Source organism: Homo sapiens, chromosome 3 (assembly GCF_000001405.40).
Source record: "Homo sapiens chromosome 3, GRCh38.p14 Primary Assembly".
Classification (NCBI taxonomy): Eukaryota; Metazoa; Chordata; class Mammalia; order Primates; family Hominidae; genus Homo; species Homo sapiens.
The window spans coordinates 141302525-141328414 of NC_000003.12; the positions used below are offsets into that span (position 1 = coordinate 141302525).

Genomic DNA, 25890 nt, shown 5'->3' on the forward strand with positions numbered 1-25890 from the left:
AAACACCAGTTAACTCCCATTGCCCAAGGCCACTGAACTGAATGTTTGGATTGTCCCCCTGTATTTGTGCCTGCCCAGGAGCCAGCTCAGATGAGTAATAGCTTCTGCTGAAGAGGAAGCGGCTGAATACATCAGAGCATCTGGGCAGGACTTCTTGAAGCCCGACTGCCAGCGGAGACTGGCCTTGATGAGGAGAAGGCATCCCTGAGGGCCAGCTCAGCTCCTGAGAGCTACAGAGCCCCTCAGCAGAGGGATGGCCTGAGGCCTGCCTTCCAGACAACATTGTCAGCAGTAAAGTTGGCCATGTAGTGCCAACTACGTGGTTTCCACAAGTGTTTCTTCATGAATCTTCACAACATTCTGAGGAAAGTCCTAGTTCCCTAATGTGAATGAGGAAAACAGGCGGGGGGAGCCCGGCAGGGGTTGAAGTCACTTTTTCAAAGGAAGAGTCACAGCTGAGTCTAACTCAAGTTCACATGATACCAGTGAACTGAAGAGCACTTATAGCTGGGCATGGTGGCTCATGCCTGTCATCCCAGCACATTAAGCCCAAGAATTTGAGATGAGCCTGGGCAACATAGGGAGACCCTATCTCTACAAAAAATTAAAAGTAAAAAAATTAGCTGGGAGTGGTGGCACATGCCTGTGGTCCCAGGTCCTTGGGAGCCTGAGGTGGGAGGATTGCTTAAGCCCACGGGGGTTGAGGCTGCATTGAGCCGTGATTGTGCCACTGCACTCCACCTGGATGACAGAGTAAGACCCTGTCATTAAAAAAAAAAAAAAAAAAAAAAAAAAAACAACCACTATATGAGATACCATGGGAAAATTTACACCATTTCATTAATCTTCACAATAGTCCTACCAGATAGTATATTTGCTGGCAAATATCGATGAATAATATAATAGGGTTAAAGCAGTTCTACATTTAAATCTAAATGGTTAGGGGAATATTCCAACTCTGCCTCTAACCATCTGTGGCTTGCTATTCTCAAGAAAACTTATAATGTAAAATGTATCTTTGCAGCAGTTACATTACATTCAACCACTAGGGGGCAGCATCAACACAATTTTTCCAGTCTTCCATCTGTAAAGGAAGCAGGGTAGTTTGAGGGTGTTTTAATAGGTTGAGCAGCTGTGCAGGTTTGCCTGGCACTGAGTAGTTTCCCAGGATGTGGGGCTTTCAGTGCTTAAAAAACAGGAAAGTCCCAGGCAAACTGGAACAAGTTGGTTACCCTGGTGTTATATGTTGAAATGGTAGTGAGAATACTACTGTCATTCCCACTTTTACAGAAAAGGGAACCACGAGGAGTAGTTCGTCTGAGGCTCCACACGGCTGCTAGTGTGCAGCAGAGCTGGGATTCCCGCTGTGCCCATATCACACGCAGGACCATGCTCTTAAGCAGGGTATGTGATAATGCCTCCTGAACCATTTAGGACTGCCTTTGGTTCCGTGCTACCGAAACCTGATGACAGTGGCCTAAGCAATAAAGCCTTTCACTTTCGCCAGTGGCGCCATTATGTCATCAGGAACCCAGACTCCTGTTCGCCTCTCACTGGCCAGAGTGGGGCCCCTTGGCTACCTCTGCTGTAAACGAGTCGAGGGAAGTGAGGATCTTTATTGGGCACACTGCTGTCCCAAACAAGCTCAGCCTCCTTTCACTCGAGAAAAAAGGGAAAGTGGGTACTGGGTAGAGAACTCGCAGTGACTACCACACTCTCCAAAGCCACCATTACACTGAAGGTGTGGATGCTGCGCCACCCTGATCCCCCACTTCAGGACTTCTTCCCCCAGTTGCTGGTGGTGCTTGGCTGTCGGTGCTTTCAGGGCACTGCTCTGGAGCAGAGAGCCATCTGCTGAAGGACATGCTCCTTCCCAGGGCAGCCACATCCAATGATTGGTCAGAATAGGGATCGGAAGGCCCAGGGACAACCCTGAGGGGCCATCTCAGCTTCAGAGCGCCTTTGGGGTCAAGCCAAGGCCTTGTGACTACAACATAGCCCAACTTCTGCCTCATCCAGCATCCTTCACAGTGTTGAGAGCACTCCCCAGCAACCCCCTGCACACACGTCTGTCTCAGACTCTGCCTCCTGGGAACTGACCTGAATGGAAAGCAAGCAAATCCTAGAGGCTAAGGTCTCTGCTAGCATGGGCAGGAAAGCTGGACTCATTTCTAGAAAAGGGATAAGTATCTATTGATGACCAATAGATCTTCTATCACTGCCTTTGAGAGGCTTACCATTTTATTGCAGAAGCTAAGTATGCACATAGGAAGCAGTAGGAAAAATTTGATTTCAGACAATCCAAAGCTAATTACAGAGGGCTGTGACTTACCATTTGTTGAACAGATACCATGGGCTGGACACTAGGCTGAACATTCAACTAATGTAGTCTGTGTATCTCACAGTATGAGTGAGCACTTGAAGTAGGCATTTATTATCCCCATTTCACACGTAAGGAAAGGCTCTGAGCTCTGAGGCTCAGAGGTAGACGTGTACATAAGATCACACAGTCAATAGTAAGTGGCCAACTCAGGACTGGAAAGTGAATTATGCTAGACTATAAACTCTTCCAGGTCCCTCTAGCTTGGTACCTCTCCCTGCGCCCCCTACTCTGTTACGTCCACACAAGTGAATAAGTAAACTTGACACTTGGGCTACAGTCAAGAGTCTACTCTGCTCAAGGGGATGATCCCCTTCTTGCATCTCTGTTATGGATATTTATATTTCTAGCTCCTTTTGTTTCTTTTCCCATTTTTTCCTAATGTAGCTTTTCCAAGAAAACGGAATCTTGTTATAATAGATTGTCTTAGCCTGGTCTCCCTTGAAGCAGAGTCTGAGAAAAAAAAAAAAAAAAAAGCTTAAATGTAGTAGTTTGTTAAGTTGGTTAGGGGATGTGGTACCAAAGGAGCAGGAGTGAAAGAGGGGACAGAAGGGGAAGGAGGGAAAGCCAGTGTAAGGATGCACAGGGGCAACTGGGTGCTCTATCCCACAGGACCTCCTAAGAAGGCTTGGGAAATACATCTCAGAACTGTTCACTTGTGGGAAACATTTATCCATTGGCTACCAGCCACAGCTGCCTTCCCTGCTCTGCTGACTTGCATGTGCATGACTGCCCAGCAGGAGGGTGCCTTGTACACCATGGCATCAGAGAAACACTAGGGCAGGAGGCAAGAGAATCAATCTCTCTCTCTCTCTCTCTCCCTCCCTCCCCACCCCCATGTGTGGACACAGTAAGAAGGTGGCTATCTGCAAGCCAGGAAGAGAGGCCTCACTAGCAACTGAAAATGCTGTCTCCCTGACCTTGGACTTCTCAGCCTCCAGACCTGTGAGAAATAAATGTCTGTTATTTAAGGCAAAAAAGAGAAATCAGTAACTGGAAAAAGACTAAGAGGGTTGGAAATGGAGCACGAGATGCACTTTATGTGCAGGATGGGCCAGCACTTGTTGAGCATTTCAACGCCCAAGACATGCAGTGTGCTTTTTACGCAGAACCTTGTTTCATCTCACAGTAACCTGTGACTTAAAGATTATCATCCCCTTTTCTTTTTTTTTTTTTTTTTTTTTTTGGAGACAAGCTCTCACCCTTGTCATCCAGGCAGGAGTACAATGGCAGTAATAGCTCCCTGCAGCCTCAAGCTCCTGGGCTCAAGCAATCCTCCCACCTCAGCCTCCCGAGCAGCTGGGATTGCAGGCACGAGCTACCACACTCAGCTAATTTTCATATATTTTTTTGGAGATGGGGTCTTGCTGTGTTGCTCAGGATGGTCTCAAACTCCTGGGCTCAAGCAATCTGTCTAGCTTGGCCTCCCACAGTGCTGGGATTATAGACATGAGCCACCCCGCCCAGCCTATCATCCCCATTTTTAAGACAGGGAAAGAAACTGAGAGGAGAGGTCACTTGCCAAGGCCTCTCAGCCACGAAGTGGCAGAACTGGGAGGCAAACTAGTCTGACTCAAGCCCTTACTCATAGTCATTATATCATTATATTAAACATTCCTCACAGGGGTCTACAGAAAGCATGTGTGATGGCTTACCAATACATACTAAATAGTTCTCTCCGGCATGTATAGATTTTACATTCATGACAGCGTAAATCAAATTAAAAACGCTTCCTTGGCCCTCCACAGCCTTCCAGATAAAATCCAGGCTCCCTAAGGGCCTCCCTGAGTACATGGACTGCAGTTGTTGATGGATTTTCTGCATGTCTGGAAGACAGAAAAAGCGTCTTGGATCATGGTGTGGGGTGTGAGATTGACAGGATCTCCGAGAGGACAGTCGCTTCCAGAGCACTTCAGAAGCCAGTGATTTCTCAGTCCTCCACTCTTCTCCCCTTCCCTATCTGTGGTCTCCAGTGTGATCACCTAGAAAAAGAGCTTTGGAACCATATAGACCAAGCTCAAATCCAGTTCTCTACCACTTCGCAGGTGTGGAGCCTCAAGCAAGGTACCCAGGCTCCTACAATCCCTAAACCAGGGATGATGACTCCCGCAGAGTGTATGTGAAGCTCCAGACACATGGACCATCTCCACCTGGCAGGAGTCATTATTTCTCACAAATGACTCTCTCCATTGCTCTGAGACACCAAAACCAGTTGAAACCAGAATGACAGCCCTGCCCACATTTTTTTTTAATGTGAAAGATGAAAGGTCCTCATTTCTTGTTCTGATAGCTTCCTGCCACACACTGAAGTCTCCTCAAGGACACGTCTTTTACTGCATGCAGCTTCACAGTCAGCTCCTCAAGCAGAAGACTGAACCGTGACTTGTTTTTAGAAGCTCTCCGGGTAGGGAGGACATATCCATATGCAGGACAGAACCTTGCTTTTCAAATTCAAGAAAAAACAGTAACTAATCTATCGATTCTTCTGTGATTCAGTCTGCCAGGGTGTTCTGTAAAGAATCCTTTTCCATCCCTATCACACATTTGTACGAAAGGGGAGGGAGAGGTGGCAGGGTCCCAGTACACCGGCAGGCACTTCGGCGATGCCCGGGGCTCCGCTCCCTTTCTGTTGATAGTTGTAGGCGTCATTTCTGGCAGCTGCTGCAGCTCGATGCAGGGAAGGAAGGGGCCACCCACCAATCACCTCTTTCTGATGCCACATTTTTGACGTTCATGGAAGAGGCCTGTCTCAGAGCTCCCTAAGCTGACAATCTTTGGGCAGCCATCTCTATTCTTCTCCTGGCTGGTGCACTCCTTACAATAATAGGCATCAGAGACTCCCATGGCCTCCACAGATCTCACAGTGTCCCTGGTAAAAGCCATAGTTACACTCATCATATAAGCATACCAGGGTGAAGGGACAGACACAGCGGTCACAAATCACACACTTGCCGTCAGTTTTCACACAATCTTCCGATGGCAACATCAGCCTGCTTGCAGCAAAAGATCAAACCCAGATAATGTTCAGCCGTAGCTCCTGCTCACGCTGCATTGCCCTCTTTTTAAAGCCAAGAAGCCCATCTGGAGGCATCAAATCATGCTTTATGCATAAGTAGGAGCTACAACGCATTGGCCACATGCACCTCCCTTGGGGGGACTCAAATTTACTGAATCCTGCCTTTGTGCCCAACACTGCATTTGGAACCTTATATAAACATCTCCACTATTCCCCAAGAGGGTTCATCCTTTCCCCTTGTTTCTTCATTATCTATGTCTAACTTCCATCCTTCCTGCTTTAGTTGGACTTGCTGTTCATTTGAGAGGAAGCTGCTGACCACAGAGTTCAGCAAAAGAATGGGAGTATGGAGGCTCAAAGTGTGGCCCCTGGAGAAGCTGAATGAGAAGTAGCCCTGGATATGGTGTAGACTCCCACAAACCAGAGATCCTGCCCTCAGTGCCTCAGCTTTAGGAAGCTGCTCCCTGCCTTGCTCCTGGGCAGACAGGTATGGTATTGATTTCCCCATACCCCAGCATCCCCACCCCAGTTTCCCTCTCTTCCCCCATTGCCCGGTGCTTTGGCTGGCATGCCCCTGACAACCAGGGAGGGCAAGTCCTTCTCCTGGTGGGTAGCCGGCTGGCTTCCTCCCAGCTCAGAGCCAAGCATGCCTCAATTAGGTACGCCCTAGGATGGGAAGTCCTTCCAGGGGCCTTTCCTCAAAAGCCGGCCAGAAGTGGGCTCCTTCAAGCCTAAAGTTAAGCCGATGGAGTATGCAGGGTGGAGACGTGAAGGAAGGCCACACCACCTTCTGGTGGCAACTCCGCCTGGCCCACGTTTTGCCGCTTTTCCTCTTTCCCTGTCAACCACACCACGTGAGGCCTCTTTCCCAGCAAACCAAAGCTCCCTCTGGCGGCCCAGGAGGAGTCAAATCTTCTCCCCACCTGTGTACATTATTTTCCAGCTGTAGCAAGTAGAGACACGCTCTGTGTCCAGATGGCCTCACCCCAGCTGCCCTTTTGTCCCACTGATGAGCCAGGTGTTTAGCATTTTAAACAACTAGCACTCTGATTGACAGACTGACCATTAAATTGACTTTCTGACTGATGGATCCTGATGGACCACTGTCTATCTGAAAAGTTAATCCTGAGTAATTGACTGGCTGGTTGGCTGATTAAATATCTAAACACACAAATCACTTGATTGACCTAATGGATTTCTTTTTTTGTTGCTTTTTGGTTTTTTGTTTTTGAGGCGGAGTCTCGCACTGTTGCCCAGGCTGGAGTGCAGTGGCGTGATCTCCGCTCACTGCAAGCTCTGCCCCCCGGGTTCATGCCATTCTCCTGCCTCGGCCTCCTAAGTAGCTGGGACTACAGGCGCCCGCCACCATATATATATATATATATATATATATACATATAGTATTTTTAGTAGAGACGGGGTTTCACTGTGTTAGCCAGGCTTGTCTCAATCTCCTGACCTCGTGATCTGCCCGCCTCGGCCTCCCAAAGTGCTGGGATTACAGGCATGAGCCACCACACCTGGCCACCTACTGGATTTCTTACTGATGTACTAACTGTAGGTAACTAAACATCTGACAAGCTTAAACTGACTACATAACTGACTCTTTAACCAGCTGAATGACTGACTGCCCAGTGGAGGACCAACAATAACTGATGTCTGGCTCCATAACTAAGGGTTACAGATGGATGGGAGAAGAGGCTGCCCCTTCCTCACACTCCAACTCCTATGGGGATTGAGACCCTATTCTTCTCCCCCTCTTGAGCCACTTGAAGACTGCAGAAAGGGTGTTATGGTCAGAATATTGGTGATCTCCCCAAATTCATATATTGGAACCTAATACCCAATGTGATAGTATTAAGAGATGGGACCTTTGGGGAAGTGATTAATTCATGAAGGCTCTGCCTCAGGAATGGGCTTAGTGGCCTTATAAAAGGAGTTGGAATTGAAGGGAGCTAACTTGGCCCTTTGGCCCTTCCACCATGTGAGGACACAGCTACAAGGCACCATCTTTTTTTTTTTTTTTGAGACAGTCTCGCTCTGTCGCCCAGGCTGGAGTGCAGTGGCTTGATCTCGGCTCACTATAAGCTCTGCCTCCCGGGTTCATGCCATTCTTCTGCCTCAGCCTCCCAAGTAGCTGGGACCACAGGCACCTGCCACCATGCCCGGCCAATTTTTTTTTTTATTTTTAGTAGAGACAGGGTTTCACCGTGCTAGCCAGGATGGTCTCGATCTCCTGACCTCGTGATCCGTCTGCCTTGGCCTCCCAAAGTGCTGGGATTACAGGCGTGAGCCACCGCGCCCAGCCCCAAGCATCATCTTTGAAGCAGAGAGTAAGCCTTCACCAGTCCAGTCCTTGATCTTGGACTTCCTTGCCTCCAAAACTGTAAACAATATATTTCTGTTACTTATAAATTACCTAGTCTAAGGTATTTTGTTAGAGCAGCCTGAATGAGCTAAGACAGAGGGCAATCAGGAAACTGATGTTCTGATCTTCTGGTGAGGTTCTTAACCAGGGCCCGACATATGGGTTTCAATTTTGCTTTCAAAACAGTGTGGATGTAAAGATGTGTGTTTATCCAGGAAGAGGGTTCACAACTTTCTTTGGATTCTCAACAGAATTCAGCACACACGAAATATTATGTTCAGAGCTACTGCTCTGGGAATAAGAACCTCAGCAAACACATTTCAGATAAGCAAAGCCCTTGTCTGAATTCAAGCCCATTTCTATCTCCCTCCCATCAAGCCAGAGTGGCAGAAGATGACTAGGAAGAGTCAGAGGACCTTAGAGGAGGTGGATGTAGCCAAGAGAAAGGATAAAGGCTGAGCTGTTTGAAGTTTCCAGAGAGGACTGAGGAAGTCAACCTGGGTCCTTCTTGTGTGGAGGTCACACTTCGCCCAAGATAGCAGAGGCCGTTTAAACTGAGATGGATATATTTACCCTTTGTTTGATGCCAGGAGTATGTGATCATGAATTGTTATGTGGCTGTGTGTACTACATACCGGTGTGTTCACAAGGGTAGGTATAACTGAGCTGTGTGCATAAGTGAACGAGTGGCCTTTGGGTTTAGTGTGAGCATCTGAATGGTTTGGTGAAGGGATGTGCACGTGCATCTTTAACCATTTACCCATCAAGCCTCTCATTAAGTTAAGACAGGTTACGGAAAAGAATTCCACTAGGTGAGAGTATCTGCAGACAGGCCTACAGCCCACACCAGAAAACTGGGAATCCTCAACTCGCCCCACTCCCTGATCCCTCATCATCCACTGAATCCATGCTGCCACTCCCACCATCAGCCCCCATCAACTCTCCCTGGGCTGCTGCTCAGCCTTCAATGGCCTCCCCCAAAACCCTTCTGAATGAACTGCAGCAATAGTGATGACGGTAAAATGACTTTTGGGTCACAGCGCGTCTCCCCTGAAGCGAACAACGGCTTTCCATTGTCGGAGGATACTGCCCATCTCCTCAGTCTGACTCGAGGGCTCTTTCAAGGTCGACTCTGGGGTAGTGAGGTCCCCGGCTTTGGGCGCGTCTCCCCTCAGTCGGCTCGTATCCCACACCCCTTCCCCCTTGGATGCCTCGTTCTCTGGGGCCCTTTGGCGCTGCCCCTGCGTCCCCATCATGGAAACTACCACCTGCTGCCTAACTGCCAGACGCAAAAGTGCCCAAGCCTGTCTCTCACGTTCCACCCCATAAACCTTCCCCACCCGACCAGAAGCCAGAGAGACCACAGGTCGAAGCAGGACCACGCAAGGACGCGCACGCCTCTTTCCCACGCCGCAGAGCGATAGAACCCGCAACAGGAAAACGGAAAGGCCGTGCGCCGGAAGAACAGGTAGGGACTACGACTCCCAGAAGCCTCTTGACAAGGACTACATTTCCCAGAAAGCTCCGCGCGGTTCCCACCCCGGAACTGCCTCTGCTTTCGAAAGCGGAAGGCGGGCCAACCGGGCAGGGAACAGGGTTTCTGAAGGGATAGACCGGTGGGCGGTGTCGCCGGGTGTCTACCTCCAGGGGTCGTTCGTGAGCCAGAGAAACCCGGACTTAGGAAGGAAGGGGCCTGGCCACAGCCCTTCCGCTGTTGGCTGTGCATTGCCCTTATTCCCAGCTCATTCTCTGTCGTTGAGTCGAGCAAGGAGGGTCAGACAGAACCAGGTCCACCACGTTTGTGTCTTTCCGCCAGGTGAGACTTTTACTGATGCTATTCCAGTCATAAAAGCCAGGAGCTACATGGAGTTCCCAAGGAGGCAATTCCCCTAACACTACCCGCTCACTCGCTCACTCCGTAGTCAGAGCCATAGGCACACAGGCTTCAGCCACTACACCAAGTCAGTATTGCAAAGCATACAAAATAGTCTACTTAGTCAACATGTTAAATGTTGTAGATTAAATATTCCACATCAAGCAGGGTAACATTTAACATCAAGAGCAAAGGAGATAGATAGGAAAAGGGGTTAACAAACTAGTCCCAGGAGAGACAAGGTGTCCTGGCCTCAATGTCTTGCAAGGAAGAGTCTTTGATGTGGGCAAAGCCTTAGGCAGCAGATGCCGGGTGTTTATCATGGGCGACAGCAAGATAGGGTCTGTTAAGACGGCCATTTAGAGCTAGAGAAGTCCTGCTCTTTTTATGGCCACGGGGGTCTTCTGGTGACGACTGATAGTGAAGGAGTGTGCCTGTTTATGCCCGTATTTGGTTGGATACACTCTTTTTTGGTTAGGCGAACATCGGGACTCTGTTGGCATGATGCCTTTTGAAACGTAAAGTGGAGTCTTTTGCTAAGATGGAGTTACTTATGTCAAGGGTGTTCTATACACTCCCTCTGCCTGCTCTGGCTTTGCCTGTGGCCAGTACTTGCTCTCTGCCCACCTCTTGGTGTCTCTAGGGGGTAGAGGCTGGTGGCTAGATGGTCTGTCCCTCGCCCTTATCTCCAGTCCTGCATTGCTTATCTGCCGCTTGGAGGCGGTGACCATCTTGACTCTAAGAGCCAAACCCACAGAGCCCTACATGTGAGTTCCACAGCTCTTCTACTTCTGGCTGTGGCTGTCGGAGGAGGGGCTTCAGGCGGTGGAGACAGGCGTGGACAGTAGCTGGGGGGTGGCGGGGAGATCTGTGGCTCCTGATCTGCCACCTCTGTTCCCAAGAAGATAATTTTCCTGTGGCCTGGGCTCATCCAGCTTATCTTCTCAAATGCCTGAGTTCTGTAGGTGGCCGGCCTTCTTCCTCACTTCCTCCACTCCCAGCCTTATCCCTCAGACCCTAGCAATGGGCCCCATGGCATATTTTCACCTTTCCCCTTTAGAGCCACTTAGAGGACCTGTCGAGAAATAGACGTAACTGGATGAACTAAAACAAGGATGAGGCAGAAACAACTTTCCATAAGACATGTCCACCAGTGTGCCATGTCAGTTTACCGTAACCATGGCTACACCCGGGAGTTCCCGCCTCTTTCCATGGCAATGACCCGATGACGCAGAAGTTACTCCCCTTTTCCTAGAAAATTCTGCATAAACCAACACTTAATCTGCATGCAATTAAAAATAGGTATAAATATGACCATAGAACTGCCCTGAGCAGCTACTCTCTGCCTATGGGGTAGTCCTGCTCTGCAGGATCAGTCATGGAGCTGTAACACTGCCACTTCAATCAAGCTGTTTTCGGCTACCCTGCCACCAGCTAGCCCTTGAATTCTTTACTGGGCAAAGCCAAGGAAAAAGCCACATTTTGTGGCTCTCCTGTCCTGCATCACAACCGCTCCTAGGGAGCTACAACCACTGGTAACTGAGTGTCTTCTGACAGACAGTTTCATGAAGTACAGGCTTCCCAGAGGTGCCTGTCCCTTCTCCCATGTTGCTCCATGTTACCACATTTCCTACCTGGGTAGACCTTTGGAGATCCCTGAGATCCTTTTAGGGAATCTGCAAGGTCAAAACTGTTTTCACAATAATACTAAGTTTTATTTGCATTTTTCACTGTAGTGACATTTACGTTTAAAATCATAGGTAAAACTGCTGGAACCTTGGTGTGATTCAAGGCAGTGGCACCAAACTATATTGGCAGTTACTGTATTTTTCACCAGTATACTTGTAGGGGAAGGGGATGGGAAAGCCAGTTCCACTTAATGTCCTTAATGAAGCTGTAAAGAGTATTCATTTTACTCCATTTTGAGCCTTGATTACATGACGTTTAAATATTTTGTGTGACAAATGGGAAGTGCGCATAAAGCAAGTCTGCTGCACACCAAGGTATTATGTCCTGAGGAAAAGCAGTTCTGTGCTTGAGTTCGTAGCTGAACTAGACCTTTTTTTCTGGAAAACACCTCTTTTATTTTCATTGTATTTTTGCAAACTTTTATTTATTTATTTATTTTACTTTAAGTTCCAGGATACATGTACAGAATGTGCAGGTTTGTTACATAGGTATACATGTGCCATGGTGGTTTGCTGCACCTATCAACCTGTCATCTAGGTTTTAAGCCCCGCATACATTAGGTATTTGTCCTAATGCTCTCCCTCCCCTTGTCCCCACCGCCGACAGGCTCCAGTGTGTGTTGTTCCCTTCCTTGTGTCCATGTGTTTTCATCGTTCAACTCCCACTTATGAATGAGAACATGCAGTGTTTGGTTTTCTGTTCCTGTGTTAGTTTGCTGAGAATGATGGCTTCCAGCTTCATCCATGTCCCTGCAAAGGACATGATCTCATTCTTTTTGATGGCTGCATAGTATTCCATGGTGTATATGTGCCACATTTTCTTTATTCAGTCTATCATTGATGGCCATTTGGGTTGGTTCCAAGTATTTGCTGTTGTGAATAGTGCTGCAATAAGCATACGTGGAAAACACCTCTTTTGATAACTGATAGTATGATTGGGACCTGAGTATTTAATAGACATTTTCTAAAAAAAACAAAGTAAGCTAATCACTTCAAAGGAAACAACTGACATTATTTGATGCCAATGAGAAAATTTGAGTTTTCAAGAAAAAGGTTAGAATTTTGAAAAACTTATCCAGGCTGGACGTGGTGGCTCACGCCTGTAATCCCAGCACTTTGGGAGCCAAGGAGGACAGATCCCTTGAGGCCAGGAGTTCGAGACCAGCCTGGGCAACGTGGCAAAACCCTGTCTCTACAAAAAAATTAGCTGAGCGTGGTGGTGTGTGCCTATGGTCACAGCTGAGGCTGAGGCAGAAGGATCACTTGAGCCTGGCAGGTCAAGGCTGCAGTGAGCCACGTTTGTGCCACTGAACTTCAGCCTGGGTGACAGAGTGAGACCCTATCTCAAAAAAGAAAGAGAAAGGAAACATATCTGCCACCACAAGCTTAACAACATCCCAATACTTAAAAAGTTTTTCTGATGAGCTTGGTGATGGTATTAATAAACGTGATTTTAAAAAATATTGAATAATGAAATGTGCCAACATTTGGAAGATCTGCATAACTCCATGCAGAAAAAAAAAAAACAACTTCACTTTTTTTTTTTTTTTTTTTTTGAGATGGAGCCTTGCTCTGTCACCCAGGCTGGAGTGCAGTTGCATGATCTCAGCTCACTGCAACCTCTGCCTCCCGGGTTCAAGGAATTCCCAGGCCTCACCCTCTTGAGTAGCTGGGATTACAGGCGCCCACCACCACACCTGGCTAATTTTTTGTATTATTAGTAGAGACAGGGTTTCACCATGTTGGCCAGGCTGGTCTCGAACTCCTGACCTCGTGATCCACCACCTCAGCCTCCCAAAGTGCTGGGATTACAGGCGTGAGCCACTGCGCCCGGCCTAAGCTCCACCTCTTAAAGTGAGGAGTATCAAAGAATATGTGGACATATTTTAATAACACTACACTTAATGAACCAGTATTTTATTCATGATGGTACAAAACCATGATGGATGGGTAAGAAAAAAAAAATCTATTCCAATTGCAAGACAGTCCAATGGATTTTTAATGTAATAATAACTCAAGAAGTTAATGGATGTAGTTCTAGATTCCACTTTGCTTTTAAACATTAACAAGCTATATATTTGTTGAGTTTTGGTATAGTATCCAAGAATAATATTCACAATTGCCTGAAAAGCTGTTAAAATAATCTCCCCATTTCCAACTACCTATCTCTGGTAGACCAGATTTTCTGCATATACTTTAACTAAAGCATCAGAATAGACAGGAACGTGGAAGCTGAGAACCCAGCTGTCATTTATTAAGCCAGACAATTAAAGAGATTTGCCAAAGAAAAATTTGATATATTGGGCCTGAATGTGCATTGTTTGGCTCTAAAAAAATTTATGCACATTTCACAGCTTCCTGAGTCTGTCTCTGCAACATAGTTGTGATTTTTTCTTTTTCAACAGATGGGGTCTTGCTCTGTCACCCAGGCGGTGGGGCAGTGGCACAATCATAGCTCACTACAGCCTTGAACTCCTGGGCTCAAGCAATCCTCTTGCCCCAGCCTGCTGAGTAGCTAGGATTACAGGTGCATGCCACCATGCCTGGTTAATTCTTTCTATTTTTGAGAGATGGGATCTCACTACATTGCCCACATTGTTCTCAAACTCTGGTCCCAAGTTGCTGGAATTACAGGCTTAAACCACCACACCTGTTTTGTAACCTGAGCGCCTCCAGACTTCTAGCCACATGTGCGATCTCAATGGATTCTGGCGTAGTCTCTCTCTCCCCTAGGGTCAGGCAAGATATCATCATTTGTCATACATACATATACAGCGTCTATCAGATTCTCTCACAAAAAGCCCTCATGAATAGATATATACTGGGGTGGCTGCCATACCCTGAATCCACTTTAGACCCCTTTAGGAATTCATCTGAGCACCTTCTAAATGGAAGTCCACAAGAGGCATAAAGGTGGCCTCACTACACCATGGTTGAGTGAGTGGACCTGCTCCCAGTGTGATCACCGTATGTGGTCCCAGGGTCCCTCCCTCTCACCAAAGGGCCTTTGGGCTAGGAAAGCAAATTTCTCTTAATGTAACTCTTAGAAATTCATAAATCAAAGACAAGTTTCCTTCTCTTAATGTAACTCTTAGAAATCCATAAACCTGTTACCAGTTGAACATCCTAATCCCAAAATCTGAAACCCAAAATGCTCCAAAATTTGAAACTTTTTGAGTGCCCATATGATGCTCAAAGAAAATGCTTACTGGACATTTTGGATTTTGGATTTTCAGATTAAGGATGCTGAACTGGTAAGTATAATGCAAATATTCAGAAATCTGAAAAAGTCCAAAATACCCCTGGTCCCAAGCATTTTGGATAAGTGATACACAAGCTATAATAAAATTATTTTTATTTTTATTTCTTTATAAACAGGGTCTCGCTCTGTCACCCAGGCTGGAATGCAGTGGTGTAATCAGAGCTCACTGTAGCCTCAACCTTCTAGGCTCAAGTGATCCTCCTGCCTCAGCCTTCTGAGTGTCTGGGCATACAGGAGAGTGCCACCACACCCAGCTCCTGTGATAATATTAGAGAATTAAATAATTCAATTAACAAGATTAGTAGATACTTGAGCAAAATTTGGGCTTTGCCAACATGGAAGACAGGGCATGACTATTAGGTAGGCACAAAAAAATGCCTGCTACAATTCCCTGTATATATTTAAATTATTTCCACAATAAAATATATTGCCTACATGATTAAAGAAGGAAAGAAATAAAGGTAATGAATATGAGGGGAAAATGGAAATATAAAACTAAGAAGTGATGTCATATTTTGAGGTATTTGAGAAGACATGCTGGTAAAATAAACAGACTAATTTGCTAAAAGCCAATTCAATGATTGACCAATTCACCACATTTACTTGCTCCTTTTACTTATTTACAAGGTTTTTGGCAATTCATACTGGATGGTATTCTTTTAACAGTTTTTGAACATTTCTGCAAAATATTTGTTGGCCAGTATTCCTTTATATCTGTATAACAGCATTTTAAGGAATATTCAATCTGTCTCAGCCCAGTTAGTTAGAAGACAGGGTATATGTAGAAGAAAAATATTCACAAGATAAATAAAAAATAAATCAGTAAGAAAAAGGCAACCCAATTGAAAAATGGAAAAAGAATGTTAACAGGCTGTATTAGTCTATTTTCACACTGCTGATAAAGACATACCCAAGACTGGACAATTTACAAAAGAAAAAGGCTTAATGGACTTATAGTTCCACATGGCTGGGGAGGCCTCACAATCATGGCTGAAGACAAGGAGGAGCAAGTCACGTCTTTCATGGATGGCAGCAGGCAAAGAGAGCTTGTGCGGGGAAACTCCTCTTATAATACCATGAGATCTCATGAGACTTATTCACTATCAAAAGAACAGCATGAGAAAGACCTGCCCCCATGATTCTATTACCTCCCACCAGGTCCCTCCCACAACACATGGGAATTCAAGATGAGATTTGGGTGGGGACAAAGAGCCAAACCATATCATTCCACCCCTGGCTCCTCTCAAATCTCATGTCTTTATATTTCAAAACCAATCATCACTTCTGAACAGTCCCCCAAAGTCTTAACCCATTTCAGCATTAACTCAAAAGTCCACAGTCCAAAATCTCATCTGAGACAAGGCAAGTCCCTTCTACCTATGAGCCTGTAAAATCAAAAGCAAGTTAGTTACTTCCTAGATACAGTGGGAGTATAGGCATTGGGTACATACAGCTGTCCCAAATGGGAGAAATTGGCCAAAACAAAGGGGCTGCAGGCCCCATGCAAGTCCGAAATCTAGCAGAGCGGTAAAATCTTAAAGTTCTAAAATGATCTCCTTTGACTCCATGTCTCACATCTGGGTCACGCTGATGCAAGAGGTGGGATCCCATGGTCTTGAACAGCTCCACCCCAGTGGCTTTGCAGGGTATAGCCTCCTTCCTGGCTGCTTTCACAGGCTGGCGTTGAGTATCTGCAGCTTTTCCAGGTGCACAGTGCAAGCTGTTGGTGGATCCACTATTCTGGGGTTTGGAAGATGGTGGTCTTCTTCTTACAGCTCCACTAGGCAGTGCTGCATTAGGGACTCTGTGTGGGGGCTCCTACCCCACACTTCCCTTCTGCACTGCCCTAGCACAGGTACTCCATGAGGGCCCTGCCCCTGCAGCAAACTTCTTCCTGGACATCTAGGTGTTTCCACACATCCTCTGAAATCTAGGCAGAGGTTCCCAAACTCCCAATTCTTGACTTCTGTGCACTCGCAGGCTCAACACCTTGTGGAAACTGCCAAGGCTTGGGGCTTGCACCCTCTGAAGCCACAGCCCAAGCTCTACATTGGCCCCTTTCAGCCACAGCTGGAGTGGCTGGGACACGGGGCGCCAAGTCCCTAGGCTGCACACAGCACAGGGACCCTGGGCCTAGCCCATGAAACTACTTTTTCCTCCTAGGCCTCCAGACCTGTGATGGGAGGGCTGCCATGAAGACCTCTGACATGCCCTGGAGACATTTTCCCCATTGTCTTGCAGATTAACATTTGGCTCTTCATTATGTAAATTTCTGAAGCGGGCTTCAACTTCTCCTCAGAAAATGGGATTTTCTTTTCTAACGCATTGTCAGGCTGCAAATTTTCCAAACTTTTGTGCACTGCTTCCCTTATAAAATTGAATGACTTTAACAATGCCCAAGTCACCTCTTGAATGCTTTGCTGCTTAGAAATTTCTTCCACCAGACACTCTAAATCATCTCTCTCCATTTCAGAGTTCCACAAATCTCTAGGACAGGGGCAAAATGCTGCCAGTCTCTTTGCTAAAACATAAGAGTCACCTTTGCTCCAGTTCCCAACAAGTTCCTCATCTCCATCTGAGACCACCTCAGCCTGGATTTCATTGTCCATATCATTATCAGCATTTTGGTCAAAGCCATTCAACAAGTCTCTAGGAGGTTCCAAACTTTCCCACATTTTCCTATCTTCTTCCAAGCCCTCCAAACTGTTCCAATCTCTGTATGTTACCCAGTTCCAAAGTCACTTCCACATTTTCAGGTATCTTTTCAGCAATGCCCCCACTCTACTGGTACCAATTTAATGTATTAGTTCATTTTCACACTGCTGATAAAGACATAGCTGAGACTGGGCAATTTACAAAAGAAAGAGGTTTAGTGGACTTACAGTCCCACATGGCTGGGGAGGCCTCACAATCATGGCTAAAGGCAAGGAGGAACAAGTCACATCTTACATGAATGGCAGCAGGCAAAGAGAGAGCTTGTGCAGGGAAACTCCCCTTATAATATCATCAGATCTCATGAGACTTTTTTCACTATCATGAGAACAGCATGGAAAGACCTGCCCCCATAATTCTATTACCTCCCACCAGGTCTTTTCCACAGCACATGGGAATTCAAGATGAGATTTGGGTAAGGACACAGCCAAACCATATCACAGGTAATTACATAGTCAGAAACACAATTGGACAACCAACATATGACAGCATTTTCAACATTACTAGTATTCAAAAAAATACTAAATAAAGTAGCAGTAAGATGTTTATTTTCACAAAGCATATTATCAGATAGTTAAAGAGTAATAGGGTTATTGAAGGTATTTCTGAGATCAAGTCTTTTTGTTGAGTTTAATGTTGATGTGCATGTAAATTGGTACAGCATTTGTGGTAGGCAATTTGGCCCCCTTATCAACATTAAAATGCTTGTGATCACTTTGAGGTAGTAGGGAGCTGGGGAAGAGTGGGAGGGGCTAGGGGAGTGGACACAATGGGAGGTACTAAAGGACTGGAATGTAAAGGGGGGGATGTGTGGGGCCAGGAGGGATTTGGAAGAACCAGGATTGATTGGAGGAGGGGGAGAGGAGATAAAAGGCACTTAGAGGGACTGGTGGAAAAAAAACAAGAGAGATTGGAAACAACTGAAGAAACTTAGAGGGACAGGAAGAGAAGGGGTGGGACTGGCAGGGACTACACATGTAAAATGGAAACAACTGGCATTCAGCAAATTGACCTACAGCCACTGGCAAATGGGACCTGTTCACATTGACCAGGGTCCTTCAGGAGAATGAGATTTGTTAGCAAACAGGAAACAGTGATTTTCAGAGTGGTACTAACTGTGCTTTGCAGAGTTCTTTTACTTCCTGTTATCTTGACTCTATTATTACCTTGTATTTTGCTTCTACAAAGCAGCCTGAGCTCTTTGAAGACTCCTTAGTCTAAAGCCTCTGATGGCCAATGGTCTGCATCTTTCCCATGTGCTCCTGAGGTACAAAATGGACATTTCAGCTGCTTTTAATAGAAACTCACTGTGTCACTCATAAAACTCAGGAAGCTGTCCCAAATCCTGGGAGGACATGAAAAGAGGCTCACTCTGTAGTCAAGCACAGGTATGCCTAAGGTGTGCAGGTCCCAAGACTCTCCCACTTCTCTCTTAGTTTGGAGTGGGCATTCTTTTAAGAAGTGGAGGACCCTGTGGTCACTGGCTTCCTTAGTGGTGAATCATAGGGCAATCAGAGAGCAGGAATCTGCAAAGGGGCGCTGTCATGTGCTGAATTGTATCTCCTCAACATTTATAGATTGAAGCCCTAGCCTCCAGTATCTCAGGATGTGACAGTATTTGGAGGTGGGGCTTTTAAAGAGGTGGTTAAGTTAAAATGAAGCCATTAGAGTGGTCCTTAATCCAATATGACTGGTCTCCTTATAAGAAGAAACTTGTACACAGAAGAGATACACAAGGGACATGGAGGCACAGAGAAAAGCCCATGTGAAGAGGCAGCAAAAGAGTGGCCATGTGCAATCCAAGAAGAGAGGCCTCAGAGGAAGCCAGCCCTGCCAACACTTTGATCTTGAACTTTCGGGTTCCAGACTGTGAGAAAATAAATTTTTATTGTTTAAGCCACCCAGTCTATGGTGTTTTGTTATGACAGCCCTACCAGAGGCTTGAAAGCCTAAAGGCTTAGGGTCCTGGGAAAATAAAAGTTAATTCAGGTCCTCCAGTTAACTGTTATTAGGAACTATTTGAAAATACCTTCTTTAAGTATAGAAGAGGCCCCTGCTACACTCCCATACACATTTTTACTTATTGTTTAGGAAGTGTGGAGCTTGCTGTTACACTGCCCTAAAAGTTCCTGGGTTGAGCCGGTTGCCAATAGTAAGTTGGTAAAGAAAAATAGGGATGTCTGGCCAATTAGGCTGGGTCTTTCAGTTATCATAGCTTCTACCCCTGCTGAAGGATTAGTCTTGGGCTTTGTAGATTCAAAAAAAATTTCAGTTCAGGCCTAAGTAAGTAATTTACATACTAGTTCTAAGTAATTAATTGGAACTCACTGGTTAACAATGAGAACCATATTTTTCAAGAATACTGAACTATTCATGGTAGACTAGTCCTAAAAAATCTTTCCCATTAGGAAGAGCTAAGTGAAGACAAAAAAAAAAATTTACCTTGGAAGGATCCTTGTGACCCTTGTCCCACTGAAAGATCACTTCCTCAGGAATGCTTTCTCTCAGCTTCCTGGGGAGCATTAGATTGCCTCTGCTCTGAGATCCCAAGGAACCTTCTGTCAGAAACCTCAACCCAGTTTTTTAATTAGTTGAGTATAAGCCTGCATTTTTCCCATTAGACTGTGAGCTCCAAGAGGAAAGGGATTGTGTCTTACCTATCAAGTTATATTAATAGTATCTAGATTTTAAAAGGAGGCTGAGAACAGTGGCCCACACCTGTAATCCCACCACTTTGGGAGGCCGAGATGGGCAGATCACTTGAGGTCAGGAGTTCAAGACCAGCCTGACCAACATGGTGAAACCCCATCACTGCTAAAATATAAAAATTAGCTAGGCATGGTGGTGTGTGCCTGTAGTCCCAGCTACTTGAGAGCCTGAGGCAGGAGAATCACTTAAACCTGGGAGGCGAGGTTACAGTGAGCCAACATGGCACCACTGCACTCCAGCCTGGGCAGCAGAGTGAGACTCCATCTCAAAAAAATAACATAATAAAATAAAATAAACAGGAGAATGAATGAATGAATGAAATTATGATAGTCCATGTCTATAGGACATGGCTTCCAAATGGACAGAAGATCAGTCAATCATCCATCCATCCATCCCGCCAGTGCTGATGACACGGTGATAAATCCTTATTCCCTAGCTTTTCCAGACTCTTCAAGGATAATCACTCTTCTACAGATAGTTATTTGTCCTGTACCCTTCTGTTTTGTCTGAATTAACAAATAGTCTTTTCCCTGATTGTATTCACAAAGAGGCCCCTTACTCTCACCACAAAACTATCTTCAAATCGCAACACAGCATGAAAAATTTCTGGGAGAGCCTTCTAGAAGAAACGTGTTCTCCATAAACTATGATGCCTGTGATCTATAGTCCCTGATCTGGCCTCCAGGTGTTTAACCCATCTCAGTTTTGGGTTTGCTCACCTCTGTCCACTGACTGTGCTTCCTACACATTCTGAATGGGCTATTACACCCCCAACTCCAATTCTTCAGGTTAGAGATTTGAGTGTGGTCATGAAGATTGATGGATATCAGTTAAGCAAAGGACATTGCGTAAATATTGAGCCTGGGAAAGCCAGGGACTTGAGCTCAATTTTTAGAGGTCAAAAATCATAAAGAAATCTGAAATTCAAGAAGCTGATTCCTAGGCAAGTGCAGACATCCAAGGGTTTCATGTTTCCTGTTAGGGCAGGCCTGGAGGCCTCAGTATAGATGAGCCTGAGCCTAAAGATGTGGATGCTTATATGGTCTTGCTGAGCTAAGAGAAAGATAAAAAAGGGACACAACCTCAGACTAGTTAAAAGTTGAAGGGGTAGGTTCTTTGGGCTCTGGTATTCCAAAGAAACTAGCCAAACTTGGCAGATTCAAGTTTAAACATTGTCTTTTTCTTTGTATAATCCCTATCTACATTCCAGTTGATTTTTCAACATGCCCCCTGCATGTTGCTGAATTTTAAGCTTCATGAGGGCATGTTCACTGCTGTGTCCCCAGCACCATCACCTAGAACAGTGGTAATCAACAAGCATTTGCTGAATCGATCATCAACAGATGTATATATGGGTAGATGGATGTATGAACAAATCTGTTTCCAATCCATTGTACAGTGCATACTCCTGGTCCCCATGATGATTTGTGATTCTCTCTGTGATAGGTCCCTTTGTCCAGCCATCTGCCTCTTGGTAGCTCTGAAGGCCCTTAGTCATTTGGCTCAAAATCCCTAGCTTTGGAGACTAGCTTCTTATTAACTAAGCCATTGCACCACTTGTTCTTGTAGCCTTAAATTAATTTGAGTTAATTCTTAACTGTTTCCCTTCTGTACGTGTGTCATTTAATGGTTTTCCTTTATCTGATTTTCCCCAATTCTTCCTGTGCATTTGTGGTTGTCCACAGAAGCCCTCTAGCCAAGGCCTCGGGCAGCCCTACCAAATGAATATGGGCACTTGAGTTTTCTAGGAGGGCTTTCCTGCTGCCCTGGGTCTCATCCAACTGGTATCCATCTAAACATTCCCACCCAGGGTTATTCATGCTAGAGGAAGAAGAATGCCCTTTCCAGAGCCAGTTCTTGGGGAAAAGAGGAACTGTTGATATAGCCAGAGCCCGAAAAGAAGATTACTCTGCAACAGCTAAAGGTTGGTGACATACTTTTTCTCCAACTTAGTGAAAGCTCTCTATGTTTGCTTTCCTTCTCATGAATTCCATTAGTGTATTTTCTCTAAATGACCCTTGGAACAGATAGGAAAGATTTTAAATCAATAGAATAAGCTTCATGGAGACCAAGAGTTTATCTATTATTGATTCCCCAGCATCTAGCGTAGTGCCTAACATGTTGATGCTCAATAAATCATTGATGAAGAAAGAAAAGAAAGACAGGTGGAAAGGAGGGCAGAAGAGAAAGAAAAAGGGTTTGGAGAATAGGTATGAATGTAAAAAGTGTTAATGTATTATTCAGAAATCATGTGACGATAACAGTCTTGTTTTCAAAGTAATTGGGTATATTATCCCTGCTATCTGGAGTCAATAAAGCAATTGAAGTTACTTTGTAAAATGAAGAGTGTATTTATAAAGATAAAATAATAGCAGACAAGCAGAATAACAACAAAAAAGGTATTCTTTGAAACTTAGGTTTAAACAGTAGTGATCATATATTAAGATAAATTCAAAACTCTGTAACATTAACAGCCGTTTGTTCTGTGTCTATGCCAGTTTTCAAAAGCAAACTAAAACAGTGAAGAACTTTATTTTGGTGTACAAACAGATGTCTTATGGATAAATGCAAGCTGATCATGGTGGTGATAGAATTGACTGCAACTGGTCCATTTGATATTTAGAAAAGGTCAACTAATCAGGAATGATACACTGAGGAAATTTACAAATATCTAACCTTCCTGCCATTTAGTAAAATTAACCACACAGTAATTTAGCAAAGGCTCAAAAATATTTAATTGTGTGTCAAGGAAAAACATTTCAGTGCAGGGGGAATAAATTAAGAAAATTAGCATTTTTTTAGTATCAGTCTTTCATTTATTTGAGATCATACATTGACACACTTCAGGTCCAGCAAGCCAACTTTAAATGACATACACTGTTCATTGCAAAAGAACCCACCTAAAGTGGAGATAGAAGGGGAGTAATTAAACATAGTTTGTACAGAGTCAGGCTGTTAAGACTAAGGGATTCTTTCTTCAGCAACCCGGGTAGCAACACATATTAAAGTTCTCAAGGTTAGGAAAAGTCACTATATTTGTATACTTCCTTAATTTGGGGAAAATAAAATGTAACCTAGGAGAAAATATAAAAACATCTCCAAGGCAAATTCAGAAAAATCTTCCTTTTAACACCAGCTTTGCAAAGATTGCATTAGTGAAGCATAGAGTTTGGTGAGTTGAAGTGTTTGCTAGACTAATTGAGACTACCATGATTAACACAACTGTAAAAAAGACAAACCAACAAACAAACACTCTTGATAATTTAAGCAGACGATGGCTGGTGACTAGCAAAACAAATAAATATACATCTTAGCTGCTGTGGGTTGTTCCTAAAGTTATAATAAGATGATTAAGGTTTTACCTGTGCGATCAATTTTACTTGTGAAACTGACTAATGAAAGTGTTCAGAGTCCCACACTTCAGCCAGTATAATTTTTGCCCCATCTTTTAACCACTTGTGCTGCCATTTAACATGTTTTTTCTTTAATTAAAAAAAAAGTAACAACATTTTTTAAACTTAGTGGATATTGCTATCTAAAATCATCTCGAAGAGGCATTCTTTGGAAAACATGTCAATACCAAAGTAATAACAATAATAATGATAAGTTAAGACTATTTCAAAGTAATTCTATGAGATAGAGACATACTGGTAGAGAAGAAATCAGAATCCTTAGAGCTCATGGGAAAATGTTGAGGTAAATCATATGCTCAGATTACAGTTTGCTCTTTGCAGCTTTATTTAAGAAGCAAGTTAATGTTTACATGACATTGAATTTCAAAGTCCAGGCAATAAGGAGGAAAAGAGAATGAGAGAAAAACAGTTAATGTGCTTTGCCTCCTTGCTCCTCCCAACCCATGGAGAGGCATGGGGGTTGCAGGGGAGCAGGGTGGGGGACAGGAAATGGCCACTGGAGGGAACAAAAGCAGGGGGGTTAAGGTTTTATCTTATCAGAGTGCAATAATGTTTTATTAAATTGTAAAAATTTATTGTGCTAAGATACAAGTACTATGTTTCCTAACTCACATGACAGTTATTCTTGTTAGAGTTTCAGTATCTTTAAATAATAATCCTCTTTTCTACAGTCTTGGTGTGAAACTCTGTGCCTTAATTCTCTTTGAAGTGATCCAATCTCTGATCATGTTGTGTTTTTTTACAATGATACTCTTGGTTTACAGGAACAAAGTGTTGTTTTTGGAACAAAGTAGGACTTTATTTATCTATAATACAATGAAAAGATCCTCTGCATCATTATTCTTTTCAAGTACTTCCTTTCCAATTCCTCCCTCTTGAGGGGGGTGGTGTCATTATTCCTGACTTTGCAGTTAGGCCAGGCTCGTTTGTGGCACCAGTAGAACAAAGGGTGAGGCTTTGCCAGATGGACCCCTGGACAAGGAGGCATCCTTCTAGGCCTGCTTCGAAGGGGACCTCCATGCCCGAAGGGAAGTCATTTTACCTGCATTTTAAAATCTTGTGATGTAGTTTTTTTGAGGTGTTTGTATTTAGATACATTTAGAAATATTAAGTCCCATAAAAGGTCCCTGTAAAGTCAGGCTCTATAGTTGACAGGCCTGTGTGTTCTTAAAAGGGTGTCTGAAAGAAAGGAAAAGAAGCTGAAGAGATGTTCTCTTCAAATGAAAAGGCAGGGTGAGATTTAAAAAGCTGACTGCCTCTTTCCTCAAGAAGGTGGGGCATAACTCCATACTCCTTAAGTGTGGGCCACACATAGACTTCCTTCCAAAGAGTACAGCATGGAAAGGGGGAAAAAGAGAAATCTGACAAACACTATCTTAGCCAGGCGATCAAGGTCAATATCAACAGTGATGATGTTGATGGTCTGTACCTTGATATGATGTGACAGGAACAGCACCTTACCTCTGCGGTCTTCCTCCCCCAAACCCATGACCCCAGTCCAACCGTGAGAAAAATGTCAGACTAAAATTGAAGAAAATTCTATAAATACTTGACCAGCACTTCTCAAAACTGTCTGGGTCATCAAGAAAACAAGGAAAATGTGAGAAACTGTCAAAGCCCAGAGGAGCCTAAGGAGACGTGACAACCAGATGGAATGTGGTCACCTGGATGCTTCCTTAGAACAGAAAAAGGACACTAGTTAAAAACTAAGGAAACTGAATAAAGCTTGGACTTTAGTTAATGATACTATATCTGTATTGGCCTGTTAGTTGTAAGAAATGCACCACACTAATGTAATACATGAATAATGGAGGAAACTGGGTAATGGGTATATGGGAATTCTTTGTACTATCTTGTCAACTTTTCTCAAAATCTAAAAACTACTGTAAAATAGAAAGTTTATTTTAAAAATATATAAAGCTAATTGCCAGGGAAACGACTGGTTGGAAAGCTACTGAGACTCTGTGTCTTCCAATCTTTCCTGAAAACCCTTGAGAAATTTTATAACCACATGCAGAACTAGGTCATGCCTCTGGTGGCTGCTGCACCAAGATTAATGGGGAAAGATTCTGGTTGTATAGTCTAATGCTTGAAGTTCAAGATGGGAAAGCCAGGAGAAAAGGTAAGGTAATTCATCATTTTACATAATATATTCATCATTCATTCGTTCGCACGCCGCTGCACAGAAACAGTGACACCCTCTCTTCCAGTTCACCTTCTCCCAGTCTCCTTCATGGACTTCTCTGTCTATCCATGCTTAAAGGTGGTGTTTTTCATACAATTTCATGTGCATAATACCCGACATTTTTCTGTCCTCAGCCTCATCTACCACTTATTTGCCAATGACTCTCAGATCTAGAGATAGATCCACTTGTCTACAGCCATCCCCATTTGAATATCCCACATGCACAGCACATCTGCAATGGCACTTAGCACCTCCTCAAAACTTGTTGAAGCCACTACTCTTTT

General features: G+C 44.5%; 1 protein-coding gene, 1 long non-coding RNA gene and 1 pseudogene across 6 annotated transcripts in view, besides 1 other annotated feature; 2 read left to right on the plus strand and 1 right to left on the minus strand.

Annotated features, from left to right (window-relative positions):
• Positions 1-1308: 1308 nt before the first annotated feature.
• LOC124909441 (uncharacterized) lies at positions 1309-19199 on the plus strand. The gene is made up of 4 exons (XR_007096119.1): positions 1309-1404; positions 3232-5883; positions 9113-9232; positions 16751-19199. It is a non-coding gene; the product is annotated as an uncharacterized LOC124909441 (long non-coding RNA).
• Positions 4886-5419, minus strand: PHF5AP7 (PHF5A pseudogene 7; annotated as a pseudogene).
• Positions 9116-9305: an enhancer, noted in NCBI's record as "active region_20622". NCBI's record gives its function as "activates an Ori minimal core promoter by ATAC-STARR-seq in GM12878 lymphoblastoid cells {active_cell/tissue: GM12878}" and the evidence as "EXISTENCE:reporter gene assay evidence [ECO:0000049][PMID:35858748]".
• Positions 21662-25890, plus strand: part of ZBTB38 (zinc finger and BTB domain containing 38) — a 125607-nt gene continuing 121378 nt past the window's right edge. For all 5 annotated transcript variants that reach the window (XM_047447856.1, XM_047447857.1, NM_001080412.3 and 2 more), the window contains exon 1: positions 21662-21932. The gene's annotated coding sequence lies outside the window, so the exon portion shown is untranslated. The remainder of the gene's footprint in view (positions 21933-25890) is intronic.